This window comes from Homo sapiens, chromosome 6, assembly GCF_000001405.40.
Source record: "Homo sapiens chromosome 6, GRCh38.p14 Primary Assembly".
Taxonomy (NCBI): Eukaryota; Metazoa; Chordata; class Mammalia; order Primates; family Hominidae; genus Homo; species Homo sapiens.
This window is the reverse complement of record NC_000006.12, coordinates 98,766,983-98,790,761: the sequence shown is the minus strand read 5'-3', so window position 1 is coordinate 98,790,761 and position 23,779 is coordinate 98,766,983. Positions and strand designations below refer to the sequence as shown.

Sequence of the window (23,779 nt, the reverse complement as noted above, 5' to 3'; positions counted from 1 at the left end):
AGAATTTCATCCCAAAAACATCCCCCAGGTCCCCCTCTTCCCTTTGCCCCACCCTTGCCAAAAAGGTTGGGGACTGTTGCTCTAGAGGAATGGACAGCTAGCAAGTCCTTTCAGTTCTTCTCCTGTGGATGGTAGGCAGTTTGAGGCTGTATTCTCCGGTGAGGTATTCTGTGTTGTGTATTGAGGTTACGAATGCTCGTCATGCTTTGGGTGCTCACCTCATATCCATAGTCCCTTTATAAGCAAGTAGTTCCTTGTATAAACATTTACTGCTTTGTCATGTGACCTTACTACTAAGGCCACAGCCAGAGTTGGGCCTGGGGTCAGTAACTGAGTTAAAGGCCATATTCTAGGTCAGCATTTGAGATGGGCTGAGAAGAACGCCATCCTTTATGGTTGTTCTAACCTGGATAAGGATTAATTACTCCAATGACTATCTTTGCTCTTAGGGTGGTTGACTTGAAAATGTGCAAAAAGAGGTGGAGACCAAAAGAGTGGCTCTGAAGTGAGGTGATGCCCTGAAAGCAGACAAGCAGAAGCCATGAAACAGAGGAGAGGGAAACCGAGGCACACAAATGGCAGACCCCTGGAGCTGCTGTGAAGCTTTTGACATTGCAGTGGCAGCATAAGTGATGTTCAGCTTCCTTACAAGATTTTCGTGCTTCCTTACTCTCTTGGCAACCTTATAGTGAAGCTCATTATGTAAGATAATCTGCATATTTTTGTTCTTTGTAACAGAAAAGAGTCAAACACAAGGGTCTGTCTGCCCATGTAATCTGAAGATTAAATGACAGGATAGTTTGTTATTCTTTTTGTAGATATTAAGGATACTAACAAAATTCTTACCAGGATTAATCACCAGGTACATTTATGTCTCTTTGCCATTAGTGATAGAAATATAGCAACTAAAATTTCCTTCCGGGGTAATTATAAGTAACACCAATTGAAGATTATTGAGGCTTATGTTTTTGTAAAATCCATAAAAACATTTAAGATTTATACATAGACATCTTGTAATGTATTTGATTCAATAACTCTGGAATTTAAAATTGTGCTGTTTTAAAATAGCATAAGACCTTTTAAAACAGCAATTCAAATGCTAAAAAGAACAGGACAGTTTGGAGGGTAAGGTCTATGATTTAGCATGTCATGGAGCTGATATCTTTGATTATAATCAGAAAAACAAATAAGTTGGCTTCTTTTACTGTATTAGGTTTACGTTTTAGAGAAACAATGGCATGGTGCAATTACCCATAGGTTTATAATAAGAGGAATGTGGAATCTGGGGATTCGGAGCTCTCCTATTGTCTCTTCCTACTGTAGAATTAGAATATTGCGTTACAATGAGATAATGCTAATGAAGCAAAGTATATTCATCCTTCAGCCCCTCGAAGAGCACTCTGCTAATGTGGTCTCCTATCTTTAACGATTCAACCCAAATCGGTGATGACCTTTCTAATGGAACATAAAACCTACACTATGCAACCTTGCTAATATATTCTAATGCAATTAGGTCACACAAAAGACTTGTTAAGTTTGTAATGTCTGCATTCACCTTTATCAGAATTCTAAGTGATACCAAAAGTTTGTCATTCCTCACTGTATCACTATTATTCTACTACAAATAAAGAAAGGAGTTTATTAAACAAAAGTTCTTCCAAATAATACCACTCTGTAAAACAATTATGGTGTTTGATGATTAAAAAATTATTAAAGGTAATTAAGAGTAATAAAGTTTTACATCTTAGTAATATCCAGGTTATGTATTATCATATTGAAATTTAAACACTATTATATGTATTCTTGGAGAGACTTCATTTTATAAATATATTAAATAGTTTCACTTTTAATAGTGTTTTGTAGTCGTACCCATTAAATGATTTCCTTATTAGGAATAATTTTCCATTTAGAGCTGCTGAGGCTTGCAAGGATTTTGCTTTCCTAAATAAGCATCCATATTGATGCTAATGTCCTGTAGTAGCCACAATCAAGCTGCTTGTTGAAAACTGACATTTCAGAGTTACATCCTGGTTCATTAAAAAATGTACTAACCATCTGTCATCTATCGAATTGTCTCATATATATATATGTATATACACACACACACCACACACACACACACACACGCACACAGACACACATATATCTATCACCCAACGGCCTCTTAATGTAGAGTTGCTGTTAATATTTTGCATGAATAAACCTGGGGAGAGGGGAATCAAAGCCCTTTGCACTGCAAATACAACATTTTATTCTCTTATCTGGCTGCACATGGCCACTTATAAGCCGAAGTTTCTGGAGCTGCCTCTGCAGCAGCAACTTGCCTGGCCAATGGTTCTCTAGAGATAGGAGGTTGCTTACTTTTCGTGTGGAATTTATGTAACACAGATAACTGTCTGCCAGAAACTAAACTGAGCCCACAAAAGTTATTGAAGGTGTGAGATTAGATTCAGCTCTGGTGGAAGGGGGATCCCAGAGGGGATTCCGAGGGAGCGCGCTCTGCCGAGGCGGCCCACATGGCCGGGCTCCTCCGCAGGGAAGTCTGGCTGGCATCTCTACAGTCAGCCACCACTGGCGGATGTTGCTGCAGGCACATCAGAATCTCTTAATGTACTGAGGAAGAAAGGCGCGAGGACAGCAGGGAAGGGAGCCCAGAGGAAAAACGTCTGAAAAATTCCCCGCATAAATTAGCTGGGCCTCTTGCCGTAAAAACTAACAATTTCATCTGATGATGAATCCCGGGGCTCCTTCTTCAAGTGCCTGGAGGGATTGCATACGTAATCTACAAGGTAATTATTAAAAATGCATAGATGGCGTAGGTACAAAAAAAAATGTAAACGTCACCAGAAAAACATTAAAAGGTCTGCATATGTCAATGAATTAGAGTCTGTTTGCTTCTAACAGCTGCTATTTTGGGAATTCCTCTGAGGATGTTTAAAGAGCAAGTTTTGTATATTGAGGTGGCTGCTCCATTGTCGCGGACAGTTGAAACCAGAGTAGGCTATTGAGGGGAGCTAACGGTTTTGGCACTGGTTTTGGGTGTTAAGTATCAACTAACATGTTTATGCCCGCCCTTCAGATGTCCACATACAAAGACCCCTTTCTCTCCCTTCTGGCAGGAATCCAGGCCAATCTTGGAATGCTTAGTCCCCCGCCCATCATTAAGGGCCCTGTGTTAATCGTGGGGCTTCATCTCAGAAGCACCCTGGAAAGGAATGCTCACTGACCCACAGCATCTACGTTTCCGCTTCTGTAGAAATTGCATGCACATGATCATGAGGTTCTGAAGCAGAGCTAAGAAACAATCAAGCTCAAGTTCACATAAAGCTATCTAGTGGTTTAGTATTTTAGCCATGCTAGTGGGCGGGTCATTGAGTTGTTGCTGTCATTGAAGGAAATCTGTATTCTATTCGGAGTGTGTGATACGTCTGTATATATGTAAATCATAAATACATATACACATATATGAGATTCTTCCTCATTATTATTTCTATGAAGACCACAGATGCCATATACTTTATTCAGTAACATGTAGGCCAAGTCTTAGTCTGCTAAAATGACGATAGCCTGATGTAAAATAATAAGTTCAAGCAGGGTTTTGGTAAATAAGATGATAAGCAGGCAGATAGAGAACACTTTCCATCTTTTCCTGTAGCTTTAAGCTGAGTGCTGTAGCTATGCTGGTATAACTAAAAACGATTTTACTTTTTTGTGATTTATTTGGCATTAAAATTTTGATGTTCTGTAGGCTTTGCTGAGACTGAACATTTTAATAAGCTGTATGTTTATAAATTTACTAAAATAAAATCCACTATCAATGGAGAAGAGAAATTTGAATCATTCTACTAGTAAACAATTTTCAGGGTGATTTTTTTTGGAAAACGAAAAAAAAGGACTAGCTATTTCTATGACTGTTGTGGGTTAGACATCTTCTACTTGTTATTAGGGAAGGAGTTAAAATAAATATGGTCTCATATCTAATTATTAGGTTATTATATTGTATATATGATGTTATTTACTTAAAATTATAACTTATTTGGGTTACATATACAGTATTATGATTCTTCTTCTGTCCTTAATGTGTTTGTTTTTAGGACTCAAAAACGAGTCTTGAATCTTTAGAAAAGTAGAAAAATTCTCTCCTACATGCCAACAATTTTGCATGTTTACACTGTCCAATTTACATTTTTTCAAGGTATTAGTGCAAAAAGATAGTGAGAAGTGGGTAATTTGTTTATTTCTAAACAAAAAATCCTCACAGATTAGATTTATTTATTGATTCCTCAGTTGCATTGCCAGTTTTGTGTCTTTTCTCCGACCAACACAGACATGATTTTTTACTCTGCGGGCTGGAATCGTGGTTTTAAAAATCCCTGGAGACAAGGTCTGAACTTCTTACTAGATGCGATGACATCTATCCTGCTCCATACTGTATGGCTGGCACATAATTGGCACTCAATAAATAATTTTTGAATGAATGATTGGATAAAGACCTTTGTGTGGGAGGAAATATTATGCCCCTCCCCTTTTCTGGTGTACGTTATCCAGACACCACAGCATTTCACAGGCCTGCAGCCTTATGTGGTTAGCATGGATGAGGGTTCTTCAGGTTTCATGAGAATAGGCTATGAACACTGGGTTTTGGTCTTCTTGATTCTCAGTGCCTGGATACCAGGTAAAAATAGTTTTTTGTAATATTGCTGAGAGCAATCAAGTCACCAAACCTCCTCCGCTGGAGGGAAAAGGAGGGTAAAGGAAGGGAGAGAAGGGCAGACATTGTTTCCAATACTCTTCCTCATTCGACTGTGTACCTCTTCTCTGATTCAACATCCCATTGACTTTATGGTGATACCCTTTCTATTTTTGATGTTTTTCTCCATTCTACATTAGTTACTATTCACTATTTAGTACCCTGGTGTTATCATAGGTCATGCCATCCCTTTGGCATCACTTTATATATTAGGTACTATTGAACTGCTCCAACTCTGCTGTTTCAACATGTCAGTTTGCTGACTGACCACATCCATATTTTTTCTTTTCTCACTCACTGTCATCTCTTCTGCAGCCTAATAAGGACCTCCAATTCCTTGAACCCCTTACCTTCTAACGTCTCTCTCTCTTTTCTTCCCTACTTAAATTAGGTTTTATACTTTACTCTTTTAATTGTTCTCTTTCCAGCAACTTCCCCCAATATGCTTCAGGGTCCCACACACCTGCAGAATCCCAACCCTGCTTAAATTCAGCTCTTTGGATCCTCCACTCCTACACCAGAAAGCTGTGCCCTGCTAGAAAAAAAAAAAGAAAACACCCAACATTTGTCAAATCAGAAATATGGTAGTCAATCCAGACAGCTCTTTTTCCGCTTCCCCTCCTTACCACGATCCCTAGGTTCTGTGCTTCCTACCTAAATACCTTTTAAATTTGTCCTTCTCATTTTCCCACATTGCCACTCCCTTACATCAGGCCACTATTATTACCCTTTACTTCCCTAATGGCACTCACTTGCTAACTGGTCCTGCTGCCTTTATTCTTGTCCTCTTGTTATCCAGGCTGCATACAACAGCCATAATGGTCTTTGTACACCATATCATTTTCTCTTCTAACATCATTTAGCGGCATTGTTTTTGGATTTAGGACAGAAACCAAACTTTTAAACATGGTATAAATCCCTATGGGATATGGCTTCTGCCCATATCTCCAGTTTCACCTCCCACCTCTTCTCTTTTTTCTCCAAATCTATAAGTACGAATAGCTTTGTCAGTTCAGGCTCCGTGCTCTCTCTTTTTTTTGGACATTCTTACTTTTTCACTCCTCCTCTTCATCCTTTCACCTTCAACTTCCTTTCTCCTGGTGACCACTTATTCATCTTTCCCTTGTTTATTGCATCAAGGGGTTCTTTCCTGATGTATCCTCTCCCGCCAAAAATATCTGACTTGTGCTCTTACTAAGTGCTCCCAGGGGACACTATCTCTCCTCCATTATAGCACTTAGCATACTGTGTTTCAACTGCTTATTTGTCTATATCTTCCACTACTTTACAAAGTCCATGGAGGCAGGGACCCAATCTATCTTGTTCACTATTGTGCCCCAGTGCACAGTACAATGCTAATAATATAGTAAAGGGCAGATAAATATTTATAGCAGAGAGAATAGGGTGATGGTTAAGGTAAAATATCATGAGCTAAATTGCCTGGGTTCAAATTCTAGGGCTGCCAATTACTTTCTGGATAAACTTGAGCAAATTACTTAAACTTCTCTATGTCTAGCTTTCTTATCTATAAGATGGGGGTGGGCCAGGCATGGTGGCTCATGCCCGTAATCCCAGCAATTTGGGAGGCAGAGGCAGGTGGATCACCTGAGGTGAGGAGTTGGAGACCAGTCTGGCCAACAAGGTGAAGCCCTGTCTCTACTAAAAATACAAAAAATTAACCAGGAGTGGTGGTTTGCACTTGTAGTCCCAGCTACTTGGGAGGCTGAGGCATGAGAATCGCTTGAACCCGAGAGGTAGAAGTTGCAGTGAGATTGCACCACTGCAGTCTAGCCTGGGCAACAGAGTGAGACTGTCTCAAAAAAACCCAAACAACAACAACAAAAAAAGATGGGGGTTATTAAATGACTTACCTCATATGGTTGTGAGCATTGAATTAACACATGCGAAGTGTTTAGAATAGTGCCTGGTACAGAGTAAACACCCAATTGGCTAATATTATTTGTTAAAACATTTAATATGATCATTAAAAATAATAGTAATCTGCCTATCTTTAGTTGAAAATGAACATATCTTTATACATCTTTATGAACCAGTTGTGCATGTTAAATCAAATCTGTGACCCAATTCATTATATAAACTAATAACTCAATTAATAGTGTAAACATCAACCTGGATTTTTCCCTTTGGTGATTTGGAGAACATGGCTATGTACTCTCCTGCACATTGACTTGTGTCGTTTTTTCTGTCTATTCTGATAGTGACGTCACCCAGCAGTGAATCTGGCTACCAACCTGACTGTGTCCACCTTTATGCCAGTATCTAAAACATGACATTATCAGGCTTACTGATTTTCAAATTAGGGCTTTCCTTAATTTTTAAATGCTTGGAATGCTTATTCTTCTACATAAGGCAACATGATGCTGAGACAGTTACACTCCCTCTTCTTTTTTAAATATGAAGGAGATTTTCAACCATCTTTTATAAGTAAGAAAATAGAAGCTGTAAATGCTCTGTTATTTGTCCAGAGACACACATTGGTTAATATTGAAACAAGGAATAAAGAACCGGCATTGTATGGCTGTCTTAAATTTACAATAAAACGTTACTGCAATATATTACTAGGAAAGAAAAGCTCAAGTATGGGAACATAACATATAACATTCTTTAATATTCTTTTTGAAATTACAATCATGAATTTATGCTACACTGGTCCAATTTCCTTATAAGGTGAAGAAAATTGATAAAAAGAGGTCCTTAATTGCATGTACATATGTATAGATAAGCAAATTATATCACCGGTGTAAATAAAGTGATCTTTGTTCAATTTTTAGATTCTCTCTTGTAGAGAGTTAGGATGAAAATCTTTCATCTGTGTCCTTGATGTCCTTGAGTCTTAAGTATTAGGTCTTGCTATATGAAAGCTGTACTTATTTCTCTCTGTCCTTACCCTGCCAAACTTTTGCTATGTTACATTCTTTACCCCAGAGGACACTACTTACTAATTGCTTCGCCATTTGTCCCAGGCAATCTAGTTTCTGATCTCTTCGCTGTACATACAAATGGTGAAAGTTGCCTGTAATCTGACATTTTCTTAGCTTTGACTCATCTTTCACTTTCTTTCTAGGTAACTCTGTTGATCAACTCACCATTGTTAAAACACACCCCTCCTCTGGTGGCAACATCTCCAAGCTTGTCTAGGTTTTGTGATACTGGTTGTGTCTTTCCTTGTTTGTCTTTGCTTACTCTGTTGGCTCCTCTTTCTTCCTGCATGTTTGACAAAGTGTCCACCAAGTTGCAGTCTTTTCTTTCTCTTCTTTAATTTCTGCCCTTTGAGCATTCCATTCTCTTCTGTAATTTGCCCCGAGTTTTGTGAAAGGAAAGATTCCATCTTTGTCATTCTTGTATCTATTCCTAATACTTAGCACAATACCTGGGGTATAGTAGGTGGTCAAAAAGTTTATTGACTTGAACTTCTGCTATGCAGGTGATTCCAAAAATTGAAATCAATAATGCTGACTTTTCTCATCTACTAGTCGCATAATATTTCCCACTTTCTGTGCATTTCCAATGATAACAAACATAGTTACCACTTTTAAGCATCTGTTGTAACCTAGCCAGTCTGCTAGGTGAGTTAAATACATTATTTCTGTGCTACACAGCAATTCTCCAAATTACACATTATCATCAATACCTAATATAGGAGAGAATTGACATCCACCTGAATGTCTAGTAAGCATCTCAGACTTAACATGGGCAAAAAAGAACTCTTTTCCCCATACCTGCTAATACAACTCTTCCCCATCTCAGAAAGCAGCATCCCATTTATCCAGTTATTCCTCATTCAATGCTCTGCTTTCTCACATCCAGTCAATTAACACATATGCACAGTAGACTATAAAAAATACCACCAATCTGGGCTGGGTGCGGTGGCTCCCGCCTGTAATCCCAGCACTTTGGGGGGGCCGAAGCAGGCAGATCACGTGAGGTCAGGAGTTCAAGACTAGCCTGGCCAATATGGCAAAACTCTGTGTCTACTAAAAATACAAAAATTAGCCTGGCGTGGTGGCGCATGCCTGTAATCCCAGCTACTCTGGAGGCTGAGGCAGGAGAATCACTTGAACCCAGGAGGCGGAGGCTGCAGTGAGCTGAGATTGTGCCATTGCACTCCAGCCTGGGTGATAGAGTGAGACTTCATCTCAAAAACAAACAAACTAACTAACTAACAAGCAAACACACCAATCTGCCCATCTTTTTTCATTTCCACCTCCCACTCTTAGTTCAGCCCATCATTTTTTCTGTACCAGTACAAGAAGAGCCTCCTACTGGATTCTCTGACTTGCCTTCACTTCATTCTCCACACAGAAGCCCGTGGTCCTTTAAACACATAAATCAGATCACCTTACATGAGTGATTCCAACCTGCTATAGCTGCAAAAACTATTGACCCTTTGAGTTGGTGGCATTGGCAATATGGCTATACCTGTCCTCTATGTCAAATATTTAAAATTTTGTTTAAAAAATTTTTAAATTTAAAATTTTAAGTGCAAAATAATATCTCTTGTAGTACTTGTATTGCCAATAGTTTTGATATTCACTGAAATCTAACTAGTGGAATGACGAATAGCCAAAGAAAGAATTAAGATAACCAGGGAGCTGTCACTCATTTCCATGGTTCTGCCTTTTAAACCACTGCCATGCATTTGGGGTCAAATTAGCCAGTGCTGGCTGTGAGATTCATAGATGATTCCTGCTCTGGTTGTTTCTGGATTCATGTAAACTACAGGAAGAGAGACTTGGATACAAAGTGTAAGTTTTGCTTATCTTGTCATAGTGTTAAAGTCTGTATACTTTTCTCATACACGTAGATTCATGTTTATATTGTTGAAAAAGTATTTCTAATAAAACCTAGCATTTTTGTGTTTGAAAAATATGACTTTTAATGATAGTTAGTGATTTATCAGTAATACAAATATTCTTCTCTCGTGTAATTAGTGGAGACAAGTCTCAAGCTGAGAATTGTTAAGTGTCAGTGCTTGCTTAATTGGGGCAATTTTCACTTATTTGAAAAATACATACTAATACCATTTGTTAAATGATCTGAACTTGCTCTCATTGAAAAAGAAAGGTAGAGGCCGGGCGTGGTGGCTCACGCCTGTAATCCCAGCACTTTGGGAGGCTGAGGCGGGTGGATCACAAGGTCAGGAGATCGAGACCATTCTGGCTAACACGGTGAAACCCCGTCTCTACTAAAAATACAAAAATTAGCTAGGCTTGGTGGCAGGCGCCTGTAGTCCCAGCTGCTGGGGAGGCTGAGGCAGGAGAATGGCATGAACCCGGGAGGCGGAGCTTGCAGTGAGCCGAGATCACGCCCCTCCACTCCAGCTTGGGCAACAGAGCGAGGCTTCGTCTCAAAAAAAAAAAAAAAAAAAAAGAAAGGTAGAAAATGCCTAAGCACTTTCAACATGGAAGTGTTTCCTGTTTTGTTTGTTGTTGTTTGTAATGCTTTCAGATTTTCCCTGAAGTCTGTGACAAACCTCTGTATATGCAATCCCAAAACATCTTACTGATGATTACTTCAAGAAGAAGCAGCTGAGGAAGCCCAGACACTAGGAAGGTGAGATCTTTGACACAGAAAAAGAGAAATATGAGATTGCAGAGCAGCCCAAGATTGATCAGAAAGCTGTGGACTCACAAATTTTACCAAAAATCAAAAGTATTCCTCAGCTCCAGTGCTACCTGCGATCTGTGTTTGCTCTGACGAATGGAATTTATCCTCACAAATTGGTGTTTTAAATGTCTTGAAGAAGAACCTAATTAAAGAGCTGACAGCAACAACAGCAGCAACAACAAGAACATTAGAAAAGATTCTATCTTGGAATTACTGACTTTGGCTGAGAATGTGCATATTAGATTTCTTTGTTGCTTACTTGAAAATAATATAGTGATTATTTAGCTATTAAAATAATCACCAAGGGTTTCCTTCTAAGTGATCTCTTCTTTCACCTTTGCTTGAAATTTATCATCACCACTAAGTTCACATGACTCCATGACTCTAGCTAAATCTAAGACGATGACAAGCACATTCATATCTCTAGGCATCGTCTCTCCTTAAAGTACTGTATTCCTAGGATTACCTCAAACTCAACATACTACCATGTGAACTTACTAACCACCTTAACCAATTTTCCCTTTTCTCACATTTCCACTTCGGTTAATGTGTAACCAAAGGACTCACCCTCTCTCCAGTTACTCAGGCTAGAAATTGTGTCAAACTGGACTGATCTTCCCCTCACCCTCCACCTAGTGTTCCCAGGGTCACAAAACCCTGTTAATAGTACCACTAAATATTTTCTTATTCTCTTTCTTCCTATGCAGATCCATCATCACAATTAAAACCCTCACCATGTCTTACCTGTGCCTTTGAAACAAAGTATTATTAACAGGTCTTCTAGATTTTGGTTTCCTTGGTCTCCAATCCATTCTTTATTCTGACACCAGAGTAACATTTCTGTAACCACGATATGATGGTGTTATTTTTCTGCCTTAAAACCTTTGGTGGACACACACTATCAAGCTCAAACCCTGTTGCAGAATATATGAAGCCTTTCACAACTTACATTTCCATCCTCATGTGTTAGCAGTATGGGCAGTGCTGGGTAGTAGTTAGAACATATGTGCTAGAGCCTGGCTATCTGGATTTGTGGGTTAGTTTTGCCCAAGTGAGACCTTGAACATGTTATTTAGCTTATCTAAACCTTAGTTTTTTATCTGTAAAATTCGGTTTGGAAATTTTGAAGATTAAGTAAGTCAATGCATGTAAAGAGCTTCGAAGAGTAAATGTTAGTTAGACAATGTTAAATAAATAAAAAACTCTTTTTCTATGTGCATATGGACTTTCACACTATTCTCCAGACAGGCCACATATTGTCTCATCTCTGGAAATTTGCACATAGATAGCAGCTCAAATGTCCTTTCTCTGGTGAATTTTTTTCCAAGATAGGCTAAGTAAGCAACTCCCTTCTTGTTCCAGTAGGGCCCTGCACAAACTTTAGTACAACCTCTGTTAAATTATATTGCAATTGTTCATGTAGGTGTGTCTTCACATAGACTGTTGAAGTGGATGGTCTTATTCATTTTTAAATTTATTTCAGTGCCTATCATATAAGAAATGTTCAATATACATTTGTTAAAGGAATAATCGAGGCACTCCCTTTTCTTGGAGTTATGTCTCAGTACCATAAAATATTTTTTTTCTAGAGGACCATAGTATTCCAAAGGGAGATTTAATAATTTTGTGACTTGAAACAAATCCACAATTTGTTTAGAATGCACATTTTTTTCTTCTCTGCAAACTTCTATTCTGCCGATGTGAGCAAAATGTGTATAGTGTTACCCTAATTAAAATTAGCCTAGATTAGTCTTTATTGGATTTTTACTTAGAAAATATGAAATATCTAGACAAAAAATGTAAAAGATAATCCTTTGTGTTCTCTTATACCACTCTGCCAATGCATTATTGCCCTTTTATGCTCAAAACATGTTGATTACCAGGAAAGTTGTACTATATAAGTTAGGTATTTTGGGAAGTTTTGAGTCTGCTCTTGCAAATATTATTAGTATTGCTGAATGACAGCAAAATGTCCAATTAGGTAAAGTAACCCTGCCCCACCACCTCTGCTTCTTCTGGGATCCCCTGCATTCTTGATGGCCTCTGCTTTCCCCAGCCCAAACTTCCAGCCATCCTCCTCAGGACTCTTCCACACCTTTCCTCACCCCCTCTTGTTTATGGAAGCTTAGTGATTATTGCACTCAATTGAAGATGTAACTGGGTTCTTCAGGTCCCATCTCAAGTAAACAGTCTGCACTGTAGCATCTAGGAGAAAAAAGGCTTTGACCCATAGGAGGAGTTTACTCCAGTGCTGGCAACATCATAACTTTAACCAGGACAGTGCAGGAGACATTTTATTAATCATGAGCCTCCTCCAAATCAGCCTGCTATGAGAAAGGGAGCTCTTGACATCTGTTCTCTCAACTGTCACTGGAGTCCTTTATTCATTGTGGTATAGTAAAAGGAGCATAGACTCTGAAGTCAGCAACACCTGGGTTTGAAGTTTCTCCCACAGGTCCTGCTTTCGTTATTAATGCACAGCTTCTTTCTAAGTTTCAGTTTCCAGCTATAGAATGGAAATGATGCCACCTGTCTATGAAGTGTTGTTGTGAAGGTTAAATAAAATAATGTTGGTCAACTGCTTAGAAATGGGCCTGGTACACAGAAGTATCAATAAAAGACATAAATACTATTATTTTTCACCTATTCCAATTTTAATTGAGGGCTAACTTCATATTAAACATTGTATTGTAGATGAGTCTATAAGTAATCACAGGTATTTATTTTAGCCCAGACTTTTGTGTTTGTCAGCACTCAAAGCTTTTAGCCACTTTCCTCAAATATTTTTCCACTTTATTGTTAGGATCAATTCTCCTTGGGAAGAGAGAAAAGGATGTATGTGGAAAAGGACAAGACTGTCACTGGGATACAAAACTGATAACCTGTCCTAGAATGCAATGTGCCACCATGAAAATGATTTAGAGACTGTAGAATCTGCCAAAGTTAATCAAGGAGTATTAACAGCTTGTTGAAATTCCTTATATTTAAGGGGGTGGGGGGAAAGAAGAGGCAGGCAGAAAAAGGAGGTCATTTCGTTGCTAAGTGTTTAAAGGCATAAATGTAAAAAGGCCATAATGTTTAGCCTGGATCATCAGCTCCAAAATATTGTGAGTTGGCTCTAGGTTTGACGCTGATCTCTTTTCCTCATTTGGTAGCACATCTGAATTTCTTTAAAAAATGTAGTAAAGTTTCAAAATGAAGACTCAAAATTCTCAACTTAGACCACAAATGCTGCTGTGCAACAATGCTGGAGTGCATTAGGTTCATTAGCATACCACCTTTAAGCAAGTTTCCCCTAAATTAAGAATATTTGATAATTGAAATCCACTGGAAGACTATTTGCTCCTTTTCCTACACAGTTTCAATGGCTTATTCTGCTCTATATGTTAATAGCACACGTTGCTTCTATAGCTGCAAGTAGAATCTTTCTAAGACCCTTTCATAGACCTTTGATTAGCTCTCAGTTGCTTGAAGGCAGTAAGTCAGGGATCATTCGAGGACTCTGTCACCCTAAACAAATTGAGCTGACTTCTCCAGGGGAAAACTGCCAAATTTCGTTTTTGGATGAATTTCTTCAGCAAAGATTTCATTTGGCATACGTATGGAAAATTGCATTATCCTTCCCCATTTATTTCACTATTTAACCAATAAACATCTCTTCCTGAAATGAACCCTGTAGTATAATTTTTGCTACGTTCTTTTTCCCTTATAAGTGTGATGGTCAAGCCATAGGCACTAAAGTTGATATTAATGTTTATGGGATCAGATTAAGTGCAATTTTGAATTTATCACAATTACTTCATTCAAGCTTAACTGTAATTGGAAAATTGTGACAAAATGCTTAATAGTATAACATAAGGCAAAAATTTTATGTCCTTGCACAGTGTTTAATGTGACAATCTAACAAAATAATAAATCATGAATTGATCATGAATATATCCAAAATTTTGAGCACGATTTTAACTTCATTTTAAGCAATTTTGTATTACATGAAATGAATTATATATAGAGCTTGAATCTTTTTTTTTTTGCTATTAATCTTTTTAAAAACATCACCTAGAGCAATGCTTCTCAAGCTTCAGTGTGCATTAGAATCACCTGGAGGGCTTGTTAGACATGGCTGGTTCTCCCTTCCCTCCTCCTCCAGCCCCCACCCCCAAGTTTTTGATTGAGTAAGTTTGGGGTTGGGGCCTAGAATTTGCATTTCTAACAGTTTCGCAGGTGAGGCTGCTGCTGATCCAGGATACACCTTGAAAACATTGTGATATCAAGAAAGAAGAGGGTTTTAGGAAACGGGTTCTTATACCATTGGCTCCTCCACATACAAGCTGGGTAACTTTAAATAAATTTTCTTTTGGAAGGGCTATGTTTTCATTTATGAGATAGGGATAAGAATGCTTGTCCTGACTACCTTCCATGGACAGGAGGATCAAATACCACATTTTGGGTAAATAAAGGACACAGAACGGGAACTGCTCAACAAAACTACTGGTGCTTCTTAGGTTATTATTTACAAAAAGGTACTTCGAATTAATTAAGAAGCCTTGTATTATAGAACAGGAATTCAAACCTCTCAGTTTTCTAAGAGTTGTCTTAATTTACATGCTGCATAAATAATAATATTAGCAGAGATGCTCAGGACTCCAAAATATAATCAGGTCAGAGAAGCTGATTACAGAGACAGTAAATTAATCTTCTTTTAGTGCTAATTAGCATAGAAACTGGGTTTTGAGTCTGCATTTCCTTAAGAAGACCTCCATCTTCTTCTCTTTTTTTTTTTTTACTCCTTTCAAAAGCATCTATCGAGGGCCAACTGTGTGTTGGGCACTGAGTTAGGAAGTGCAGTGGCAGAGGTGTGCTCATCGTGCTCACAGCCTGTTAAAATACTTCCTTGTAATTCAAAGTGATAACTCTTCCATAGAGGAATGTGCTAAGCAGTGCAGGAGCACAGAGGAGAGAAGACCTGATTCTGCCTGAAGGGGTCAGGGAAGCCTTCCAGTTAATGTTGCTTTCTTTAAAAAGTGAATGTAGATATATCTTTAAGTCACTTCCAAAGTCCCAGTCAAATATATCACCCCTCTAATCCAAAAGAAAAAGCAGAGTTGAATAAAGAGGAAATGCAGTATTTATTTAAGGAAAGCAAACACCTTACAGAAGAATATGATTCCTTTCATTTTAAATACTCTTGCTTCTCAGGACTAAGTAGGTTCATTCATTCATTCACGCACCCACTCACTCATCCAGTCTTTATATTATTCCCTGATCTAGACATTTCAGGGGCTTTTCAAAGCGCTTAAAATCTTAGCTGATTGTCATGGCCATTAAGGCCATGTGCAATATGGCCATAATATGGCATGATATGGTCACTGCCTTCCTCACCTCCTTCACTTTTCTCTGCACTGTGTTGGGCCATGCTGGTTCCCTCTTAATTCCTTGATCAAACCATCCTCAGTAGTTCAATGCCTTTGCGTTTGCTTTTTCTTTCACCTGGCTCTTTGTGTGGCTAGCTCTTCTCATCCTCTGGCTTCAATCTGTATGTCTCCCTTTCAAGATGCCTTGCCTGCTACCTGAATCTAAGGTTTGCCCCTTCACTCTCATAATCCTTTATGAGACCACTGTGTTCTGTTCTATTGTAGCATTTCACAGGTTTAAGTGAAATATTGGTTTGTGCTTGTTTGTTATCTTCCTGCCTTATTCTGTCCTGTCTCCACTGTCAAGCACAATTCTTGGCATAAAAAAGGTTTTTAATACCCATTTGTAGAATGAATACATTTCCGTGTTAAAAAAGTGATTGTCAGGTGAGGTGAAGCTGAGAACTTTTTTTTTTTGGGCTGGAAAATTAAACAAGAGCCCAGCTTTCCAATAGTGAGAATGGGGTTTTAGAGCTTCTTCCCTGTGACTTGGCTCCCAGGAGGAGCAAAGGGGAGTTTAACTGCCTGGAACACAGGCATGGCACCTACTCTCCCTCCTTTGCCTTGCTAAGCAATCAGTGCCCTTCCTGAAAGGGTTGCTGTAATCAACTGAGAGCCCACGATGCATAGCATTGGAGTAAGTAGGTAGGCTATGTTACACTTTAATTCAACTCAAGACATTAAAAAAAAGTTTTGTACTTACTAATCTGGGAGGCAATGGTTTTTTATAAGTGGTCCCTATTCTTAAGAGGCTTTCAGCTTAGTTGGGGAGATAGGAAGTATGGTTAGGTAACTATTAAATCAAAATTGGAGAAATTTGTAACCGCAAAATGGAATGAGAAAATTGGACTTTGAATGCTTTAGGACTAAATGTTATTGTCCTATAAAATTGCTCTATTCCTACCAAAGACTAGCCATAATCTCTGATGTGAAAGAACTCATGACTTCAGCTAAGGCAGTATTGTCTAGCAGAAGTTTCTGCAATAAAGGAAATGTTTGATAATCTGTGCCATCCAATAAGGTAGCCGCTAACTACATGTGGCCTTTGAGCATCTGAAATGTGACTAGTGCAACTGAGAAACTAAATTTTTAATTTAATTTATGTTAAATTAAAGTAACCACATATGACTAGTGGTTATTGTACTGAAAAGCTCAGGTCTGAGGGGAAGAACAGAATTTATGTCCACTGGAAGGTACAGCAGAGCCAATTCTAACGAGACATATGTTGAAAAATCTTATTATCAGAAAGTAACTTATTTGGAATAGCACTGTGGCACAATATGTTTATTACAAAATAATAATTCTGAAGACTGTATTTGGACCATCTGTATTACCTTTAAAATGAGATGGCTTAAAGTAATGTTTGTTTCTATTTTTAAAGCATATATTTGTGAAAATACTCCATTTCTTGAGTTTGCAAACTTTGGTGCTGAGACTTCTATAATTTTCAAATGATTGTGATGACAGAAGGAAAAAAGTAATTGGAATTGTAGTTGAAGTGTGTACTCTGCAGAATTTTCTTTCACTAATTTAAATAAATCAACATCTTTCCTTGTATGTAAAATTTTTGAAATAAATACAAAATTGTCTTAAGAAAGGGCTCATAAATATCCATGTACTTTCTGGATATCATTTAGTGAAAGGGCATAAGAGAGAGAGAGAAAGGGAGAGAGTGAGACAGAGGGAGGAAGAAGGAAGCTGTAGAAAGCAGGGTTTTCTGCTAAAATTTGGGAATAGTCTCTAAGATTAGAGGACTGTCAAAGACATAATTTACATAATCCATTTATCACAACCCATCCAACAGTATAATCCAGATCAATAGCCCACCAGAATCTAATCAACCTCCTATAAGGACACAATCATTCACCAACCCTTCCTACCTCACCCAACAAGATCTTAAAAATCTTGCCTCAGCTCCTCTAGAATATTGAGCAACCCTAACTAATTCCTGCAAAGTACTTCTACCAAATCTCACAAAACAGAAGGTCTTAGAGTATTAAAGCTTTTTACAAAGAGAAAACCCCAGCCAATTCACCAGACAAAATCTATCTGGCATCTCAAGTCAAAATTGCCATTACAGAAAATGGAGGCAGTTTTATCTGGACAGACTGAAATAACTTTCCTCCTGTTTTGCAGAAAAAGAGTGATGAGATTTCGAAGAATAATCCTAATTGTGATTATAACAGGATGTATACCTTGTCTGACGTTTAATAATTTGTTTCTGATGTTTTCTTTTTGAGTTTTCTTTGCAACAAAGTTTCTTCATCAGGTCCCATTGGGTCAATTTTGGTCACAGGAAGTAACAAGAAAAGCAATAAAACTTCATACTCCTTGTTGGATTACTTTGTTTTGAGGTGGAATGGCCTTTTGTTATTTTCTTAAATTTGGCAGAGAACATTTACTTGATTCTTTTTTTTTTTTTTTTTCTGAGATGGTGTCTCACTCTGTTATCCAGGCTAGAGTGCAATGGTGTGATCTTGGCTCACTGCAACCTCCGCCTCCCGGGTTCAAGTGATTCTCCTGCCTCAGTCTCCCAAGTAGCTGGGATTACAGGCATGCCCCACCATGCCTGGCTAATTTTTGTATTTTTAGTGGAGACAGGGTTTCACCAAGTTGGCCAGGCTGGTCTCAAACTCCTGACCTCAAGTGATAGGCCCGCCTCAGCCTCCCAAAGTGCTGGGATTATAGGCATGAGCCACCACACCCTGCCCATTTATTTGCTTTTTAAAGAATTCTATAGGTAGAATGAATTCATGACTCTGGGGAAAGTTTATCAAAAGGTAGAAACTGGCATCACGATAGCCAGTCAAAGTACCATCATGAAGAGACTGAACGTGCAAGATGCTGTCTCCTCCCAAATAGACTCACTACTGAGCATGTCTCTGAATTTCTCAAGTGTGTCTGACAGTCTGAGGGACTGCTGCTGCTCCCTGATTGGCAGGTGAGGGCAGGTTGGGAGGTCTGAGGAAGACCCATGCCAGATACCTGAGAACCACCTTTGTGTCCAGTGAACAGATAGGCTAGACCCAAGAAGAAATGCCATCCCAGAGAGCTAGCTTATCTGAAAGTTGTAGTTGTTTTTCCTTTAATAAAGAAGTGGGTGGCCCAAATATCTTTGATCTGCTTGCCTTCTCTTCCCCACCTGCCAGTGTGAAAGGTTCTTAACTTGGTGGCCCGTGTAAATGGGTTTTACAGCTTGTGTTCGTAGCTGAAGGCTTTGATGAGCTGTTTGGTGAAGGCTGTTTTTAGGTGATGATTTTAAAGTGCTTTGGTGGGCATAATATGGACCAGTTTAGATGTTTAATTGGGGCCCCTGGACAGCTGTCGCAATCCTGCCTGGAACTAGGGAGGAAGAAAAAGTAACTAATGAAATTCACGTCAAAAAGTAAACTATCTCGTTTGCTGGAGATCATTACTTATATGAATGACAAAATGAATATTTTATGTTGACAGCTAAATTGGTTATTTTTTTAAAATAAAGGGTTTGGTTCAGTTATAGAAGTGTAAATTTCATCAAAATCTCGTTCAGGAGCTTGTTAGCTTGTTAACAGTTCTCACCCCAAATGCATGCAACTCTCATATGTTACAGAAATACCAAGCTATTGATGAATCATAAGTGGCCAATTAACCCAGATATATTTGGGTTTTAAATAATCTCTCATGTAATTCATTTACTTTTTTTCCCCTAATCTGAATTAGCATGACTAATAAGGATGTCTCCAAAGTTCTTTGATTGTTAAATCAGGTTTTCCATGTGGTGGGGTGGTGGTAGCATGTGGAGTATGTCTCCCAGGAGGCTTCAGAAGGGGTGGAAAGGTGAGCTGGTTCAGTGGGTCACTTTGCAAATTGTCAACACAAACTGGCTTGGTCTCTCTCAAGAGACCAGAACTATGTTTCTACATATGGATGCTAGTTCCTGTTTATAATAGGGGGTTTTTCTTTCTTTCCTTTTTTTTTTTTTTTTCTGAGACAGAGTCTTGCTCTGTCACTTAGGCTGGAGTGCAGTGGTGCGGTCACAGCTCCATGCAGCCTCAACCTCCTGGGCTCAAGTGATCCTTCTCGCTCAGCCTCTTGAGTAGCTGGGACTTCAGGCATGTGCCAACACACCCAGCTAGTTTTCTTTCTTTCTTTTTTCTTCTTTTTTTGTAGAGATGAGGTCTCTTTATGTTGCCCAGCCTGGTCTTGAGATCCTGCCTCAGCCTCCCAAAGTGCTGGGATTATAGACGTGAACCACTGCACCCAACTGGGGAGGTGGGTGTTTCTTTTAACCGTTGTTGATGTATTTTCAAAGTTTACTTGGATTGAGGATCTAACGTAAAAGGCAGATAAAAGAATTGTCTAGGATCCTAAAGTAATGCTCAGCCTGAGCAGGGTGAATCAGAAACTTTGGGCCAACGGGGAAAGGACACCTTCACTATGCCTAAGAACAAATATTTGAAGTATTATAATAGCCACTGATTTTATTATCTATGGTTCAGTTACATGGAGGGGTATCAAGTGCTTCAACGGGACATTGAAATTGAAAATGTGAAGTTACACAGCATATCCATGTCCTTCTGAATATTACAATAGGTTAAATGACACCACCCAACAGAAAATATGTAGAAGACTTAGATGTCACAATAATCAATTCTTGGGCGGTTTGGAAGGCCTATGTGCTCGTGGCCCCTTGGCATTTATCTTGGCTGAAAGGAATCATTGAAGGGGGAATAAGCAGATGCCCTGAAAGAGACACTTAGAGCCACATATGTGCTGAAGGGGAGCAATGTCTAGTTTACAAAAGAAAAGGCTAGGGTGGACAGAGTCACTGCAATTGTTTATCCAGGAGATTTATACCAGGGTAAGGGCAGGGCTGGATCCCAAAGCATACAGAGTCTGAGCCTGAGTTTGAGTCCCAGCAGAGCAACTGGGCAGTTACTTAACATCTCTGTGCCTTAGTTTTCTTGTCTCTAAAATGGGAATCATACCTGTACCTACCTCATTAGATTATTATGAAGAATAAATGAGCTATTATTAGTAAAATGCTTTCAGTAGTGTCTGCACATAGTAAATACTATCCCAGTTTGGGGTGGCATGACATACTTAACAGTTGGACCAAGATTGCTGCTTAGGACAGAAATGGAAAAGATGGATCAAATTGATTTTTCTATCATACTGCCCAGCAATGCAAGCAAACATGTCTTTCTTCAGAGCACATATATGTGTATTCAGCTCCTTGTCCCTGGAGCTCCCCCAGGTGGGGGTTGTGGAGATACAGGTCCTTAAGAGCTGGTGCAGGTTTCCTGAAGAAGCCACCTTTTGGAATCTAAGAGCATGAAAGGCCCTTGGGTTTACATCTGACAAGTGTGAATATCAGGTAACCAAGTAACTAGTACAGTCTGGGAATGAGAACATTAATTCAGGTCAGACAGGTAAAGCGGAGTTAAGCCAGGCTCTACCTCTGAAATGAAAATCTATGCTATTTATAACAGTAACTGAGAGAAAGACAAAGGAGTCAGACAGATGAAGACTAAAACTCTATCTTTATTCCTGATGGAATAAAGATGTTGGATAACACAGTTGAGGGGGTGAAGGCAATGAAGGACTTTCAAAAGCCAGTCCCAGGGTGGGACAGAGTTACCTATCCCAGGAACCACAGGAGAACTGCAGTCAGGATGAGGTGAAGCTGAAAGGAGTGTTCTCTAGGGGAAGGTAGACTGCCAAGAGAGGGGAACCCAGTGACCAAGAGACCCATGCCTGCATCTTTCTCCTAAGTTGGTGGTTCTCAATGTATAGTCCCAGGTTCCATGAGTCAAAACTATTTTTATGATAATAGTAAGACTTTTTTTTCACATTTTCACTGTTTCTCTCGAAAGTTATGATGGAATTTTCCAGAAACTCCATTGCATGTCATATTGCAAAAAGTTGGAATCCAGAAGTTGATACTTAAATTCATCTTCTTTCTCTTAAGTCAGGCATTAAAGAGATTTGCAAAAGTGTAAATCAATGCCATTTTTTCTTACCACAGTTTTGTTGGGAAAATATAGTTATTCTTTCACAAAGTGTTATGTATGTTAACATATAGTTAATTTATTATTGTTATCTTAAATGTAGTTCTCAGTTTTAATTTTTTTGTTTGTTTGTTTGTTTGAGATGGAGTATCGCTCTCTCTCCCAGACTGGAGTGCAGTGGCGTGATCTCGTCTCACTGCAACCTCTGCCTCCTGGGTTCAAGCAATTCTCCTGCCTCAGCCTCCCAAGTAGCTGGGATTACAGGTGCCTGCTGCCACGCCTGGCTAATTTTTGTATTTTTAGTAGAGACGGGGTTTCACCGTGTTCCCCAGGCTGGTCTCGAACTCCTGAGCTCAGGCAATTCACCTGCCTCGGCCTCCCAAAGTGCTAGGATTACAGGCATGAGCCACCGCGCCTGGCCAGTTTTAATTTTTAACACAGCAAACATCAATATATGTTAACCCTCACAACTTAAAGCTTTTAGTAGTCATTAATGAATTTTGAGAGTGCAGGAATTCTGAGAGTGAGAGTGAAAACTTTGAAGATCACTTCTTAAGTAACTAATCAGATGTTTTGCATCCTTCCCTTGTGTGGAATAAATGAGGGGAGAAGAGAAACCAGAAGGTGTTAGTTTAGAGTATTTTCCATCACAGGAGAAGTGATACCCACCCCAATCCCACCCCATGAATAACCCTATTGACAATGGGGTAGCAGATACTTAAGATGGTTGCTCCAATGTTTGTGAATAATGATGCCAGTGGAAAGTAGGGTAAAAACTCTTTCAATTTCAAATGTAGTGACAAGTTCTTTGCCCTTTTTGTGGATAGGGGAATAAGTAGCAGCTATGAATCTTTTGTTTTTGTTTTTGTTTTTTGCTTATCCTCAAATTTATTGGTTTTTATCTTTTGCTTTCTAGGAATAGCTTTTGGTCTATTTTGCCAATGCTTTGCTTTGCTTTCTTTCTTCTTTTTTTAAATTATACTTTAAGTTCAAGGGCACATGTGCACAACATGCAGGTTTGTTACATATGTACACATGTGCCATGTTGTTGTGCTGTAGCAGCTAAGAATCTTAAACTGGATTTCGAGACAGGGAATTGTATTACAGGATAGAAGACTTGTGTAGATTAAAGGGAAGTGTAAGAAGGACCATACATGGCTGGGCACAGTGGCTCATGCCTGTAATCCCAGCACTTTGGGAGGCTCAGGTGGGCAGATCACATGAGGTCAGGAGTTCAAGACCAGCCTGGCCAATATGGTCAAACACTGTCTCTACAAAAATAAAAAAATTAGCCGGGCATGATGGCGGATGCCTGTAATCCCAGCTACTTGGGAGGCTGAGGCAGGAGAATTGCTTGAATCTGGGAGGCGAAGTCTGCACTGCAGCCTGGGCGACAGAGTGAGACTGTCTCAAAAAACAAAAAACAACAACAACAACAACAACAAACAACAAAAGAAAACCATACACAAAAGATGGTAGACCAGGAAAACAACTTCTCTGTTTGAAAATTACCTCCTAAGAATGGCTTAGATATCCTCAAATGCACTGCATTTTTGTTTTCATATTATTCTGTTACCTATGATGCAAAAGCCTCCTCTAGAGACCTCGGGATAGTGATCAATATCTACCTTCACACCAACTTGGGGAACATGTTTTCACACTAATTTTTTTACTTGGTATTTCTTCTTGGTAACCTAAGGTGCTTTGAGATAGGGAGAGAATATGTTTTTAACATTGTAAACTAATGCATATGCTTTAAATGCAGATTGGGAATTGAAACTCATTTGTTGCAGATGTGAAGAAAGGCCAAGTTTTATCATATCCGGATAGCCCGATCCTTGAGGTAGCAGCACCCAGGCATTGTAGGGCTCAGTATTTGTTGCATAAATGATATATTCTGAAGTTTGGTCTCCAAATTTAAATATTTAAAGTGATGTCAAAGTAGCATTCTCCCAAACGTGGATTTCTAAGCCACGAATAATTGAATAAGAATGACTAAT

At 39.0% G+C, this 23,779-nt stretch overlaps 2 annotated features.

The window, feature by feature from the left end:
* Positions 1,999–2,499: an enhancer, noted in NCBI's record as "H3K4me1 hESC enhancer chr6:99236139-99236639 (GRCh37/hg19 assembly coordinates)". NCBI's record gives its function as "activates a minimal SCP1, AML or CMV promoter by ChIP-STARR-seq in primed H9 embryonic stem cells {active_cell/tissue: H9 hESC(primed)}" and the evidence as "EXISTENCE:reporter gene assay evidence [ECO:0000049][PMID:30033119]".
* Positions 2,500–3,000: an enhancer, noted in NCBI's record as "H3K4me1 hESC enhancer chr6:99235638-99236138 (GRCh37/hg19 assembly coordinates)". NCBI's record gives its function as "activates a minimal SCP1, AML or CMV promoter by ChIP-STARR-seq in primed H9 embryonic stem cells {active_cell/tissue: H9 hESC(primed)}" and the evidence as "EXISTENCE:reporter gene assay evidence [ECO:0000049][PMID:30033119]".